The sequence below is a fragment of the Homo sapiens genome, chromosome 10, assembly GCF_000001405.40.
Source record: "Homo sapiens chromosome 10, GRCh38.p14 Primary Assembly".
NCBI lineage: Eukaryota > Metazoa > Chordata > Mammalia > Primates > Hominidae > Homo > Homo sapiens.
This window is the reverse complement of record NC_000010.11, coordinates 13,460,444-13,475,986: the sequence shown is the minus strand read 5'-3', so window position 1 is coordinate 13,475,986 and position 15,543 is coordinate 13,460,444. Positions and strand designations below refer to the sequence as shown.

The window sequence follows — 15,543 nt, the reverse complement described above, 5'->3', positions numbered from 1 at the left end:
TATAAGAACAAGGTTGAAACATTAGCTTGGTTTTGAGTACCCCTCCAATGTTGATTATTTTATTTCCGTTTATAGGAGAGGACACTGAGGCTATGAGAAATTAAGTAACCCTATTTAATTTAAACACCAGTAAATGGTGGAATCAGGACTTCACCCAAGGCCTGTCTGACTCCAAAGCCATTTTGCAGCACACTAAACACTTCAGTCTTTCTAAAAGGAGTATTTGAAAAGAAAGAAAGATGTTTCAGTTTTTAATTTCTATCTTAAACTCTAGCATTTGGATTCTTTATAAATTCCACTAGGAAATACAGATGATTTCAGATGACCAGTCGGTTGTTTATGCAAAGCATATTCAAAGTGATTTTCTGTTTAAAATATAGCTATACATCAATTTTTTTACTAGTGTCAGGGCAGGTCTTTTCTTGAAGATAGTGAGAATCAGCTCCACTGTGCTTGGGAGGAAAAAAGAAGTTTGATCCCTTCCATCAAGAAAGAGATAACTTCTGAGACTCTTCAGTACATAGAACCACAAGGAAAGAGTTTGGGAGTAAACACTTGATATAGCTTGTGTTCCAAAGTTGTATGTAAATCAAATTCTAGTTTAAATGTTTGGCAGTCAGAACCAAAGTGATGAATGCTGAAAGAATCCTTTGGGAAGGTGACTAATCACCTGTTAATTTACCTATTCATATTTTTACATATCAGATCTGCTTAAAACAGGATATAATTACATAATACATAACATCAGTATAATTACATCAGAAATATAGCTTGCCTCTTGGCTGTATTTGTAACTCTCACCTAGTTGTTGTTGTTGTAGTTTGTATTATCCCTTGTTTTATGAAGGCCCAGTGACAAAGAGGTCATGTTGAATCTCGGCTGTTCTCTGTGTGTAGCTCTCTACTTCCAGCCCCTTCCACGATGGTTCTCATATTTTAGTGTGCATCAGAATTTCCTGGGTGTTGGTTCGAAATTCAGACTTCTGGGTCCCATGCTAAGAGATAGATTCAGTAGGTTTAGGAAATCTGCATTTTGAACACACAACCACAGGAGATTCTGATTGCTTTCAGATGCCCCTTGGAGCAGCAGCCCTACAGTCAGAGCTCCTGAGTCCAACAGCAATAACAGGTATCAACCTGAGTTTAACAGCAATGATGAGTATCGACCAGAGTCCAAAAGCGATGATGGGTATCAACCCGAGTCCAACACTGATGATGGGTATCAACCCAAGTCTAACAGCGATGATGGGTATCGACCCGAGTCCAACACTGATGACGGGTATCGACCTGAGCCCAACACTGATGACGGATATCGACCGGAGTCCAACAGCGATGACGGGTATCGACCCGAGTCCAACAGCGATGACGGGTATCGACCCGAGTCCAACAGCGGTGACGGGTATCGACCCGAGTCCAACAGCGGTGACGGGTATCAACCCGAGTCCAACAGCGGTGACGGGTATCGACCCGAGTCCAACAGCGGTGACGGGTATCGGCCCCGAGTGTAACAGTGATGACGGGTATTGACCCGAGTCTAACAGTGATGACAGATATCGGCCCCGAGTCTAACAGTCATGACAGATATCAGCCCCGAGTCTAACAGTCATGAGGAATATCGACCCCAAATCTAACAGTCATGACGGATATCGACCCCAAATTTAACAGCGATGATGGATATCGACCCCGCATCTAACAGCGATGACGGGTATCAGCCCCGAGTCCAACGGCGATGATGGGTGTCGACCCCGAGTCTAACAGCGATGACGGATGTCGGCCCCGAGTCTAACAGCGATGATGGATATTGACCCGAAATCTAACAGCGATGACAGATGTTGGCCACAAGTCTAACAGCGATGATGGATATCGGCCCTGAGTCTAACAGCAATGACAGGTATCGGCCCTGTGTCTAACAGTGATGATGGGTATCGACCCCAAATCTAAGAGCGATAATGGATATCAGCCCCGAGTTTAACAGCAATGACAGATATCAGCCCTGAGTCTAACTGTGATGACAAGTATTGGCCCCGAGTCTAACAGCGATGACAATATTGGCCCTGAGTCTAACAGTGATCACAGGTATCGGCCCTGAGTGTAACAGCAATGACGAGTATCAACCCCAAGTCTAACAGCGATGATGGGTATCAACCCCGAGTCTAACAGTGATGATGGATATCAGCCCTGAGTGTAACAACAATGATGAGTATCACCCCCAAGTCTAAGAGCGATGATGGGTATCAACCCCGAGTCTAATAGTGATGATGGGTATCGACCCCAAATCTAACAGTGATGACAGATGTCGGCCCCGAGTCCAACAGCGATGATGGATACCAGCCCCAAGTCTCACAGCGATGACGAATCGGCCCTGAGTCTAACAGCGATGACAGGTATTGGCCCCGAGTCTAACAGCGATGACAATATTGGCCCTAACAGTGATGACAGGTATTGGCCCTGAGTGTAACAGCAATGATGAGTATCAACCCCAAGTCTAACAGCGATGACAGATATCAACCCCGAGTCTAACAGTGATGATGGGTATCGACCCCAAATCTGACAGTGATGACGGATGTCGGCCCCGAGTCCAACAGCGATGATGGATACCAGCCCCAAGTCTCACAGCGATGACGATATCGGCCCTGAGTCTAACAGCGATGACGGATACCATCCCCGAGTCTAACAGCGATGACGGATACCAGCCCCAAGTCTCACAGCGATGACGATATCGGCCCTGAGTCTAACAGCGATGACAGATATCGGCCCTGAGTCTAACAGTGATGACGAGTATTGGCCCCGAGTCTAACAGCGATGATGATATTGGTCCTGAGTCTAAGAGAGATGACAGGTATCAACCCCAAGTCTAATAGTGATGATGGTTATTGACCCCAAATCTAACAACGATGATGGATATCAGTCCCTACTCTTAATAGCGATGATGGATATCAGCCTGAGTCTAACAGTGATGACAGATATCGGCCCTGAGTGTAACAGCGATGACGAGTATCAACCCCGAGTCTAAGAGCAATGACGGGTATCGACCCTGAGTCTAACAGTGATGACAGATATTGGCCCTGAGTGTAACAGTGATGATGAGTATCAACCCCGAGTCTAAGAGTGATGATGGGTATCGACCCCGAGTCTAACAGTGATGACGGGTATCAACCCCGAGTCTAACAGCGATGACGAGTATCAACCCCGAGTCTAAGAGCAATGACGGATATTGACCCTGAGTCTAACAGTGATGACAGATATTGGCCCTGAGTGTAACAGCGATGAGTATCAACCCTGAGTCTAAGAGCGATGATGGGTATCGACCCTGAGTCTAACAGTGATGATGGGTATCGACCCCGAGTCTAAGAGCGATGACGGGTATCAATCCCAAGTCTTAACAGTGATGACGGGTATCAACCCCAAATCTAACAGTGATGACGGATATCGGCCCCAAGTCCAACAGCGATGACGGGTACCAGCCCCAAGTCTAACAATGATGACGATATCAGCCCCGAGTCTAACAGCAATGACGGGTATTGACCCCAAATCTAACAGCGATGACAGATATCAGCCCCGAGTTTAACAGTGATGACAGATATCGGCCCTGAGTCTAACAGTGATGACGAGTATTGGCCCTGAGTCTAACAGCAATGATGATGTTGGCCCTGAGTCTAAGAGAGATGACGGGTATCAACCCCAAGTCTAATAGTGATGATGGGTATTGACCCCAAATCTAACAACGATGATGGATATCAGCCCCTACTCTAATAGCGATGATGGATATCAGCCCTGAGTCTAAGAGTGATGACAGGTATCGGCCCTGAGTGTAACAGCGATGACGAGTATCAACCCCGAGTCTAAGAGCGATGATGGGTATCAACCCCAAGTCTAACAGTGATGACGGGTATCGACCCCGAGTCTAACAGTGATGACGGGTATCGACCCCGAGTCTAACAGTGATGACGGGTATCGACCCCGAGTCTAACAGTGGTGACGGGTATCGACCCCGAGTCTAACAGTGATGAAGGGTATTGACCCCGAGTCTAACAGTGATGATGATATCGACCCCGAGTCTAACAGTGATGACGGGTATCGGCCTCAAGTCTAACAGTGATGATGGGTATTGACCCCAATTCTAATAGCGATGATGGGGATGGTGGGTATCAACTGTACACACAACAGCCCCTGTGAAGCTTGGGCTCCTTCAGCTGTTTCTGTCAAGCACCTGGTTTTCTGAAGGTGGCTCCACCTCTGTCCTGGAATCAGTGAGAAGGAAGGTAGCCTTGTCTGAGCTGCCCTCATTCTTTGAACCTTGGGGGTTTAAAACTTTTTTTGTGTTATGTGACACAAGGGTCCTGGTTTCAGACATGGCTACAGTGCCTCACCAGGACTAGACAGAATAGCTGCCCACTTCACCAAGGTGGAAGAAGGCATTTCCAGACTCTAGCACAGATCTCACTTACGGATCACTAAACAAATACCATTTCATTTTCCTTACAACCTTGTCATGACAGTCTTGAAGAAAATGTAGAATCTCTTCTTGGCATTGGCTAAAGTCCCCTTGATTGCATATTTGAAACACTTGTTCAGTTGACATTTCCCCAAACAGTGTGTTAACAGAAGACATGATCTTTGCTGCTTTTCAGATACTGGATTAAGTCATGAGAACACCAGAATCTTTGCAGTATTTTCGTTGATATTATAAACCTAGAAATCATCAGCAGGCATGAAATTTCTGCTAACAACATATTTATTACCCCAAGCCAATGACTGACTAAGGCCCTGATGTTCAGAAATGTACAGTCTAGTAAGACATGTCAGCGATGACCCCTAACAGAGCCATGCTCCAGGACAGAATAAAATAAATGACAAATGTCTATTACCTGGCAGGGGGAGGAGGAAGCACAGAGGATGTAAATCTCACTAGGAGAAGACCTCACAGAATAGATGACATCTGAACTAGGCCTTGAATGAAGAGAAGTATATCAAATGCCGAGAGAATGGAAAAGGTTAACTACAGAACATGTTTAATGAAGCTTAAATTCAATAAAACATTGGGTGAAAGCCTTTTGCCTCCAGAACTGCTTAAGGCTCATGCTCATTGGTGGACCTTAAGTCCTCAGCAACTTGTTTACCTTAACACATTTGACTTCATGAATATAATGCCAGTGAAATGGACTCAGATATAGTTTACCTCCAAACGTTTTCAGCCAGAACTGTGCTGCTTAAAGTTGCTTCTGAAAGCTACCTCGGCCCCATCCCACACCTTATGAATTCGGATCCCTGCCGTTGGGGCCACAGTGAGTCTACGCTTCACCACCGCTTCATCACCGGCCTTCCATAAGCTCAAAAAAGGGATCTCATCTCCTCAAAACTGTGAATTCATATGTTTACTACATAAGGAGCAAATGGAAATGTGGAGAAACTTGTTAAGAAGGGTGTGGCTTTTTTTGATCTTTCTTCAGCCTGTCACATAATGGGCAGGAACCAGTTGTGGATTCACTTGCAAGGATTCCACTCCAACTCCCCGTTACTGAATTCTTACAAAACCTGCATTTTAACACCACCACTAGGGGTGACAAAAACAGCCTCCTGTCAAAAGAGATATGTTTCTGGAGCATAAACAGGGCCACTACAGTAGAATGTGCATTGCACACCATTGTGGGCACTGTTGCCGTTGTGGACACTGTCGATTTGTATATTTATTGTGACAGTTTCCCTGCAGCCTAAAGTACAGTGTCTTGAGGAAAGACACCTTTCTAATCTGAACAATGGCTCCATATGTGCCAGCTGTGGCCCTGAAAATAGAAAGCAGTGTTTTCTGCGTGGTCCATCTCTTCTTTATTTAACTCCCTGAATTGTGTGGCTCATCAGAGATGCTCACCAGCATCCTAAGGTAATGCCACATCCTCCTATTTTCTCTCCTTTTGTGGGGAAGCAGAATTGTTTAATAAGTTCAGAGTCAGTCAGATTGCATTCCTGGTAGCTTTTCTTCTGGATCTACAATTTTGATGCCAGTTATCTAGCAAGTGTTCCAATTCAGTTCCATAACACGTATTGACTATCTCCTGCAAGGTATGCATCAAAAATCTGAACGACTCAGGAATTGGTATTTGCTAGTATTTCTGCCCTGAAAGTGCATTGCAAATGATCATGGAATACTCACAAAAAAACTAAAAGTGTATGCAAGCTTCCAATAAGAAAACCCCTTAAAAATTCATAACTTTCGGCTGGGCACGGTGGCTCATGCCTGTAATCCCAGCACTTTGGGAGGTTGAGGTGGGCAGATCATGAGGTCGAGAGATTGAGACCATCCTGGCCAACATGGTGAAACTCCGTCTCTACTACAAATAGAAAAATTAGCTGGGCGTGGTGGCATGTGCCTGTGGTCCCAGCTGCTCAGGAGGCTGAGGCAGGGGAATCACTTGAACCCGGGAGGTGGAGGTTGCAGTGAGCCGAGATCACGCCACTGCAGTCCAGCCTGGTGACAGAGCAAGAATCCATCTCAAAAATAATAATAATTCCATAACCTTCATTTAAAATTAACGGAAAGCTGTAATCGATTTTGGCTGCCTGTCAGACATTTTTGTATAAGAGCAAAGCACGGCTGTACCTATCTGTAAAAAACCCTTAGCATGAGAGAGGCGTTCCTTTTTGGAATTAATCAGGTCTTCCCACTGACTGCTCCCTGCAGTCAAGTCTTCTGCTGTATGGACCGTGTTTCCAAGTCATGTTTCTTGCATCCTGCTCTTGGTTAGATTTTGACACCTCTCCATGGTCAGCTCATAGTATTTCTCAGAAACCCTTTTATACTCGACCCTAGCATCCTCCTATCAGCCCTACCCCTTGGATGACAGAGTAAATCCAATCTTCGTTATTTTAAGCACCTTCCTCTCAACACCTCTTGATCACTGCAGATACCATTTTGAATCCACTTAGCCAGGTACAACTACCTGGGGGCAAATCCCAATTAGAAATGAAGGCAGGACAGTGGAGACCAAGATGTATATATAGGATATTCAGGTCTCCTGCAGGGCATGGGGCCTGTGCTGGCCTCTTTCTGAAGAGTCAGCGGTAGCCCTGCTTACCCACACAGCAGTCATCTTGGCGGTGGCATGGGCCACCTAACCCTGATACCCCCTTGCAACTACATTATTTTTAGCAGAGGCATCAACTAACTCTTCAAGTTTGAAAGCTCAGAAACACCTTGAATGCCTTTTTTTCTTTGCAACTCACCCTGCTCAATTACCTGGCCCTATCAACTCCTTTTGTCCCTCCTCTCTCATTCAGTGCCCTTTGGCTTCTTTGACACCATCCTGGTCCAGCTGTGCATCACTCTGTCCTTGAAATTCTGCAAAAACACTCTTGAAATGTCCTGCCTAACCCTCCTTTCTCCTTCCAGTTCCTAATGTATCCTAACAGCCTAGTAACACCCAGAAAACCAAATCTCGTGACATCGTTTTCCTACTTACTTCCCCTTGGCCTATTCAGTCCGAACTCTGGCCTTTTCCAAGACTCCGTAACTTGAATTTCTCTCTCCTTGTGAACATATTTCCCGGTGCTTCCTCCCGGGTGAGCCAGCAACACTGTTCCTCAAGCACCACTCGTTCATTGTGGACTCTGTGTTATGCTGTTCTCCACAGGGCCGTGGTGCCCTTCTCTCCCCGCTCTTTATAGACAAGCCTGACTTGTTCTTCCTGGTTTACCCCAAGTCTCATCCCCTGTACCATGAGACTTTTTCAGATGCCCTAACCTGTACTGATTGCCCCTTTCTCTGAGTGCCAGTACCACTTACTGCCTTTAGACTGCTTAGCAGGGCATCTTAACTCTCCGCCTTGCTATTGATGACTTCTATGGAGGATGAGCATGTCATTTACTGCGCACACTGGGACACTCCTGAGGGTCAGTATGGTGCTGTTAATTATCTCATTGGGAAAACAGGCGCTTTATACTTGAACTTCCCGGGCAGATCGGGATACATGGTCATGCTGTTTATATTAGGGTGTCTTGTCTTCACAACAAGACTATAAGCTCCTGTGGGCAGAGATCACGTTTTATGTTTGCTTTGTATATTCCTTGTCCCATGAAACAGCACCACTCACATAACTAATGATCCATAAATACAGGAAGGAAGGAAAGAGGGAAGGAAGAAATCAGTCAGTTTATCTTCTCTGAAAAAGGTGGTTTCTTAAAAATCAAAACAGCACTCCCACAGGTTTCTTAAAAATCAAAACAGCACTCCCACATTGGATACGTACAGGGCATGAATAACAAGATAACTACACAACTTCTCCATGACAAGTTGGAAAAGGGCAGCTGAAATTCAAGGAGGCAGAATATAAATTTGAAGATTAGAAGGAACAGCAGCCACAGACAGATCAAATGGCATATAGGAATTAAGGGTAGTGTAATCTTGTCGATCAAAAACATTAAGGTAATCTAAAATAAAAAAGCCAAGTTTGTATTTAATGGGGCTGTGAAAGCATTGATCATTGTTAAATATCAAAGAGAAACCTCCACGGTATGCCACATGGAAAGTGTAGTATGTCATGCTTTCTTTCATACTAGAGAGGAATCATCCTCAAAAGTTGAAGTGTAATCATTTTATTGTGGGATTTTGGTTTAAATAAACCTAATAACGGAATCCATAGTTAGGCTAAATGTGCCGTTTCCTAGTTTTCCTACCTGAAGACTTCTTGACACATCCGTATACTTCCCCTCCAGGTATATTTTAGCCTTTGTCCTAGCAACTTGGTGCCTGAAAGAGTGAGGATCAGATAAAAGTCTGAGAACTCCTGTCAGCCTCAGAATGTGAACCCCAAATTTTCCTACAGCTGATCCCAATGAGAAGGGAGTTGCCACTGTGTAAAAAAGAACAGGAAATTGAATCCTACCTCTGAGGCATGGGCCCTGTCCTGACGCCCCAGCATCTTCCCCCGGTGTCCACGGTGGGACAGTGCATAAATCTCCACTGATGAGTGAGACCCCTGCCCCGCACCCGCCTTCCCAGCCCTTCACCCTTCCTTCTCCCAGCCTCTGTCACCTCTGGGTTGCGGTCTGACCTGAGCCTCCTGCCTATGTTATAATTTACCCTGGCACTGGAGGCGTTCATTCCAGACCTCCTGGCGAGGGGGTAAACTCAGCGCCTCATGGAATGACTTTGAAAATTCATATACTGAAAAACCCTCGCTTTAGAAAGAGAAAAACGCATGACTTTTTCCTCATTCATTTATCTAAAGAACAGTCAAGCCCAGTAACATGTGGAGGGAACGCATGTGTTTTATGCCACTTGCCTAAGGCCTCTGAGCTGGTGATTCCCAATCTTTTAAATTTTGTGTTGCTTGAGCCTCAGCATTCGATTCTATAAAATAAATAAATGAGTTATACGAAACATAATGCACCTTCCAAGTAGAATTTCTATAAATCCATAATTTTTTTTTTTTTGAGACAGTTTCTCACCCTGTGACCCAGACTGGACTGCAGTGGTGTGATCTTGGCTCACTGCAACCTCTGCCTTCCAGGCTCAAGCAATTCTCATGTCTCAGCCTCCCTAGTAGCTGGGATTACAGGTGTGCGCCACCACGCCCAGCTAATTTTGAATTTCTAATAGAGACAGGGTTTCGGCATGTTGGCCAGGCTGGTCTCAAACTCCTAACCAGGTGATCCGCCCACCTCAGCCTCCTAAAGTGCTGGGATTACAGGCATGAACCACTGCGCCCGGCCTATTAAATCCATAATTTTGAAACATTTTTCTTTGCTAAAAAAAAAAAAAAATGGATTCAACGGTCAAACATCATTACACTAAAGCTTGTTATTACCCAGATCTTAATACTTAGTAAATACGACGTAACCATTGAAATATACCAACTGTGTTAAACAAAGGCATGGCACAGCTCACCAAAGGAAAGTTCTTCTTGTTTCCCAACAGTTGTATTATAAATGGGTGCTTCCTTAAATTGATAGAAATTAAAATTAACCTTGTTTAATTTGAGAAACCACTATCAGCACTTTTTGGCACTTCCTTTTAGACAGAAATGTCATAGTAGCAAAACTGAAGGAAGACAAAGAATATTGTTGTCTGTCCCCCCACCCCTGCCACCACACACACACACACACACGAGAGAGAGAGAGATAGCTGTGGCCTCAAATCGGTGAGAATCACTGGGATTCAACAAGACTCTTCAAGCCTCAGAGTCCCACCAGTGTGGGGATAACAAAGGGAGCACTGTGGGACGTAGATTCACTCCTGACTGTCATTCAAGCTCTTGAACCATCACTTTCTCTAGGAAAAAAAAAAGTGTGGCTTGACTAACTTTTAAAGTCTCCAGTTAAAATAATAATAATAAAAGCCTCCAGGTCAGAGATTCTGTGGTTCAGAGGTTATATTCCAAATTCTCAGAAGTAAACCTAAAGAACCAGATAAATATGGCTTGGAATCAGTTTTATGGATATCTAGGGCCCTTTTCATTACATCAGCCAGCTGAAAATAACAGCCCCATAGAGTAGCAGTCAGCACGAAGATGAGATGGTCCTCACGGCCAGCTTTTGCAATCCTTGACTTTTGTGTCTTGTACGACTGACTGCCCCGCATGCCGGCTCCTGCTAAAGTCTCATGTCTATAACTCAGTAGGATATTCTCATTTCATCAGTAAATACCTTGTCTGCAATACTTTATTTCCTTAATTTAAAGGCATCATTTTTAGGTGCATTAGTTGATGAACTGTGCTAAATTCTGATTGTCAAACCGAATCTGAAATGAACTTCAGGGCTCAGTATGAGACCTCTGGCTATTTACTGAAGAAGTGCTTCTTACAGTTCCTTCAAGTTAAGTAACAGACGAGAGAAAAAACTTTCTCAGATTTACTCTTTCATGAACCATACATTCATACCTGCCTATTATGTGCCAGCAGTGAATGGAAGACGTGATCTCTGCCCTTGCTTTGAGCTTGCAGTCTTGATGAACACTGGACATTGTTATTTTAAAAAATCACTGGTTAACGAACTCAGGTAGGCCTTATCGGGGAAGGTCACGTCTCAGTTGAGACCTGAAGGATGAGATGCACTGCTGTCTTCTCTGTTATTCCCCGAAGGCAAATTACTGAGTCTTCTCCCAGCTCCCTTTTAAAGATAGCTTTTGGTGCTTATCCCAAAAGAGTGTGTGTGTAAGGAGTATAATTGAAATCTAGTCAGCGTTGACATTTCTGTGGCATAGCCCTAGGAGAAATTTTCTGATTTGTTCACAGACTGAAGAACGACATTTGTCCCCATTAACAGTAGTCTTTAGGTTAAAACGTTGAAATAATAGTGTTCCTCTTCATCTTGAATGTGGTAAAGACATTTGCCAAGAATTTGTTTTCTCTGCCTTCCCCTAAGATTTAAAACAGCTATTATTAATAATTTACTTCATATCCCCTCTCTAAGAATCAAGATGTTCCCTCTCCCTTCCATTCTCTCTCTTCCCCGCCCCAGAGTAATGGAGTTGGTGTGTATCTTTCCCATTCATTCTTACTTTGCCACTTGTGTTCCCGTCAATCCTATTCATTATTGTTTTGTGTCCTGCTTACAGATCTGTGGCCACAGCATCACACGGTACTTTTGCAACTTGCCTGTGTTTCACATGTCCTTTTTCATCTTTTTAAAGATTTGTCCATCTCAGCACATTCTAACCCTAGCTTAGCCATTTCATCTGCTAACCACTGCATGACAAAGCCTTTTCTTCCTCCAGGCTTCTCGTAAGAGACAGTGAGGCTGGCTTTTCTCTTTCCCTGTCACCCAAGGCAGCTGTCATCTCTGTGTTTCTGGGTGCCCATGTGTGGGTTTCTCTAGAGAACACACCAGGCAATGGAACGGCCGAGTAACAAGGAACAGCGTCTTCAGCTTCGCTGGGCATTATCAAGTGGCTCTCAAAACTGATTAATTGATGCATCTGCCAGCAAGGTAGAAGAAATCCCACTTTCCCGCATTCTTGCCAAGATCTCTTGTTACCAGATTTTAATTTTCACCAGTCTGATGGTTCTCAAGTGAGGCTCAGTGGTAGAATCTCTGATCACTAATGAAGTTCTGCATCCTTTCCTATTTGTCATTATTTAGTTATTTTTCCTCTGTGAATTTCCATCCTTTTCCTGTTTTTCCACTAGATGGTTCTTCTCTTACTGACTTACTGGAGTTTTTTTGTCAATGACATGCATTTCAAGTATCACCCCTTATTTTCCAGTTGTGAAGACGTTGCCTACAATGTCTTTTATCTTACCGAAGTTGAGATTTGACAGGCAGATGGATTCTCTTCATGCTTTTTGCCTTTTTGTGCCCATTTTAAAAGATCCTCCCTACTCAGATGATATAATTATATCCTTTTATTTTTTTTTCCAACAAAGTTTTATTTTTTATAATCAGGTCTTTAATCCATCTGGAATTTACTTTTACCTAAATGTGAGGTAGAGATTTAATTCAATTGTTTTTCACTGTGGATGATCAGTCATTTTAACAGCATCCATTTTTGACTGATTCATAATTCTATCTCTGCCATAGTCTGAGCTCCTCTCACACATGTTTACATTTGGTCTTTTATCTACCTTCGTCTTTGAGCCATCATTTTCATTACTCTGGCATTGTAATAATTCTTAAGATCTTATAGGTCATGCCCTCTGCACTCCTCCTCCCCTTTCTCCTCTCCAGTTCTTTGCCTCTGTGTTGTTTTCTTCTTCCCATAAATGGGAAGAAGAAATGGGTTCTTCTAACCCATAAATGGGCTGAACCATTTCTGCCTAGTGTTCCATTATTGGAATGCTAAGCTTGTGGGAGTTATTTTATATTCTGCTGTTCATGGTCATCACCAAGGTCTGATTTTTCACAAAAACATTTGCAATCTCCAGCATAAATGGATTAAGCACAGTGTTTAGTAATTCTTTGATTGAGGGTCTTCGAGTCTTTGTTCCGAAATTTTCCTCGGAACAAAGGAATGATGTGGAGTTTAGTTGGGTGATTTGTTGTAGATCAAGGATGGTTTTTCATCATGATTTGAAGATATTCCAGTGTTCTCTAGATTCAGTTGTTGTGGAGTCTGATCAACCTGTTGTTCTTCTGTAGATCATCTGTCTTTTTGCTCTAGTTGATTGTAGGATCTTTTGGCCTTTGGTGTTCTTTGGTTTCTTTATTACAGTTATGTATTTATTTTTCTTAATATACTTGATTGTTGTGCTTCTTAGAACCAAGGATCCATGACTCACCAGTTGTGAAGACTTTTCATCTACTCTCTCTTTCCTCTCCTTCATTCTTTGAATTCTCTCCCTCTGAAACATCTATTAGTGTTTACTGGACCCTTTTATTCTGTCCTTTGTATCCCTTATCTGTTCTATTTCCATCTCTCATGTCTATGTTACACTCTGGGTTATTCTCCAGATCTATCTCCCTGTTCCACTCAGTGATATTAATTTATTGATTAACCTGTCCTTTGAGTTTTTATGTTTCAGTTGTGATATGGTTTGGCTGTGTCTCCACCCAAATCTCACCTTGAATTATAATAATCCCCACATATCAAGGGCAGGCCAGGTGGAAATAACTGAATCATGGGGGTGGTTCCCCCATACTGTTCTTGTGGTAGTGAATAAGTCTCACAAGATCTGATGGTTTTATAAATGGAAGTTCCCCTGCACAAGCTCTCTTGCTTGCCACCATGTAAAATGTGCCTTTGCTCTTCCTTTGCCTTCCACGGTGATTGTGAGGCCTCCCCAGCCATGTTAAACTGTGAGTCCATTAAACCTCTTTCCTTTATAAATTACCCAGTCTCGGGTATGTCTTTATTAGCAGCATGAGAACAGACTAATACAAGATACTATATGTTTAATTTCTGTAAGTTCTATTTGGTTCTTTTTGAAATCAGCCTGTTATTTTCCTGGTGCATTGAATTTTTCCTTGCTCATTTTAAGCACACTTACTTTGCTGTCCATTGCCATCCACAAGGGGTGTCTCACCCTGCAGCTCCTGAGTCCACTGCCTCTGGTATTTGCTGGGTCATTGTATGTGTTTCATTATTTTAAATATGAGCTCATCTCTAGCAGGCCTGTTTTTCTTTTCTTTTCTTTTTTCTGTGAGAATCTGTTGTGGCCCAGGTTTCAAGGCATCCTTTCAAACTCATTCTGCATTTCCCTCTCTCTGGAGCCCAGGAGTCTCAACAGCAATGCTTCTGCTCACTTATAGTTTTATGCAATGGTGCAACCTCAGATCCCAAACCTCTGTGAGGTGCAGGCCAAGCATTTCATTTTTTTTTTTTTAAGATGGAGTCTCGCTCTGTCTCCCAGGCTGGAGTACAGTGGCACCATCTTGGCTCACTGCAACCTCTGCCTCCCAGGTTCAAGCGATTTTCCTGCCTCAGCCTCCCAAGTAGCTGAGATTACAGGTGTGCACCACCACGCCCAGCTAATTTTTGTATTTTTGGTAGAGACGGAGTTTGGCCATGTTGGCCAGGATGGTCTCAAACTCCTGACTGAAAGTGATCTGCCCGCCGCGGCCTCCCAAAGTGCTGGGATTACAGGTGTGAGCCACTGTGCCTGGCTGCCTTTAGAATTTTCTAAGGAACCTTTCTTTTTCTCCCTCAAAGTCTGGACAGAGCTTGCTCGTTGCCTCCCTGTACTCGGGGGTAGACCCTTGCCCTTTGCAGCCTCACCAGAGGCTTTCGTTCCAGCTCTCCCATCACATAGGCCCAAGACCTCCTTGCCCTTGCCCTGTGGGTGTAGAAACCTGAGCTTCATGTGAGACTGCCTTTCCCTCACCTGCCTCAGGACAGTCGCAGGCTGTGCCTTTGGAATGCACATGCCCTTCCTTGTGACTGGAGCATTCTCCACCTTCTTTCTCCTTTCTTCAGCTCACCTCCACTTTTTTCTTTGGTTTCAGCTCAGCCATCACTTTATCTGAAAGCTTTCCCCGCTACCCACTCCCACCCAATAATGGGTGAGGTGCCCCTTGGCTGTGTACCTGGTGCTCGGCGTGTGTAATTGCAGGTTTGCTCTGGGCTGTCCTTGACTTCTTACTGCCTTTATCCTCCATTTCACTGCAGGATTTTTGGGGACAAGGGACCATTTGTTCAGTAACACCTAGCATAGTCCTGGCACATTATGTGTGGTGGATAAATATGTCTTGAATTAATGCATTTTATTTTTGTAATAAGGTCACAATGAGGTTTAAGTCCCAGATTTGTAACCCTCCCCCCAGTTTGTGTACAGTGTCAGAGAACATCATCTTCACCATAGTTGCACTTAATAAGAATCAACAAAAACGTGAGAAAAACCATATGCTGAAATAGATCACATCTCAAGAGATCACTTGTGACTGTGTGTCCCGTGATGTGCCTCTAAGATTTGTGGGTGCACAAAGGCCAGTGGTGCCCACTCAGTGTGCTGAGGCTGAGGGGCATCCAAACACGGGGGTCATATGCCATTGAGGACGCGTGAAGAGTCAGGCTTGCTGGGCATCCCAGCTACTCAGGAGGCTGAGGCAGAAGGATTGCTTGAGGCCAGGAGTCCAAGGCCAGCCTGGGCAACATAGTGAGACCCCCATCTTTAAA

The 15,543-nt window shown here is 44.1% G+C and overlaps 1 protein-coding gene across 48 annotated transcripts in view, besides 1 other annotated feature; it reads left to right on the top strand.

The window, feature by feature from the left end:
• BEND7 (BEN domain containing 7) overlaps positions 1 to 15,543 on the top strand; it is a 91,154-nt gene that overhangs the window by 53,648 nt on the left and 21,963 nt on the right. The window contains exon 7 of one of the 48 annotated variants that reach the window (XR_930472.2): positions 1,071 to 5,880. The exons of 46 other annotated variants lie outside the window; for them this stretch is intronic. The gene's annotated coding sequence lies outside the window, so the exon portion shown is untranslated. Of the gene's footprint in view, positions 1 to 1,070; positions 5,881 to 15,543 lie in introns of those variants that run through there. One more of the 48 variants, XM_011519412.2, reaches the window with a different exon arrangement.
• Positions 709 to 1,908: an enhancer, noted in NCBI's record as "BRD4-independent group 4 enhancer chr10:13516079-13517278 (GRCh37/hg19 assembly coordinates)". NCBI's record gives its function as "activates an origin of replication core promoter dependent on BRD2, P300/CBP, MED14 and CDK7 cofactors, and independent of BRD4, by STARR-seq in HCT116 cells {active_cell/tissue: HCT116}" and the evidence as "EXISTENCE:reporter gene assay evidence [ECO:0000049][PMID:35650434]".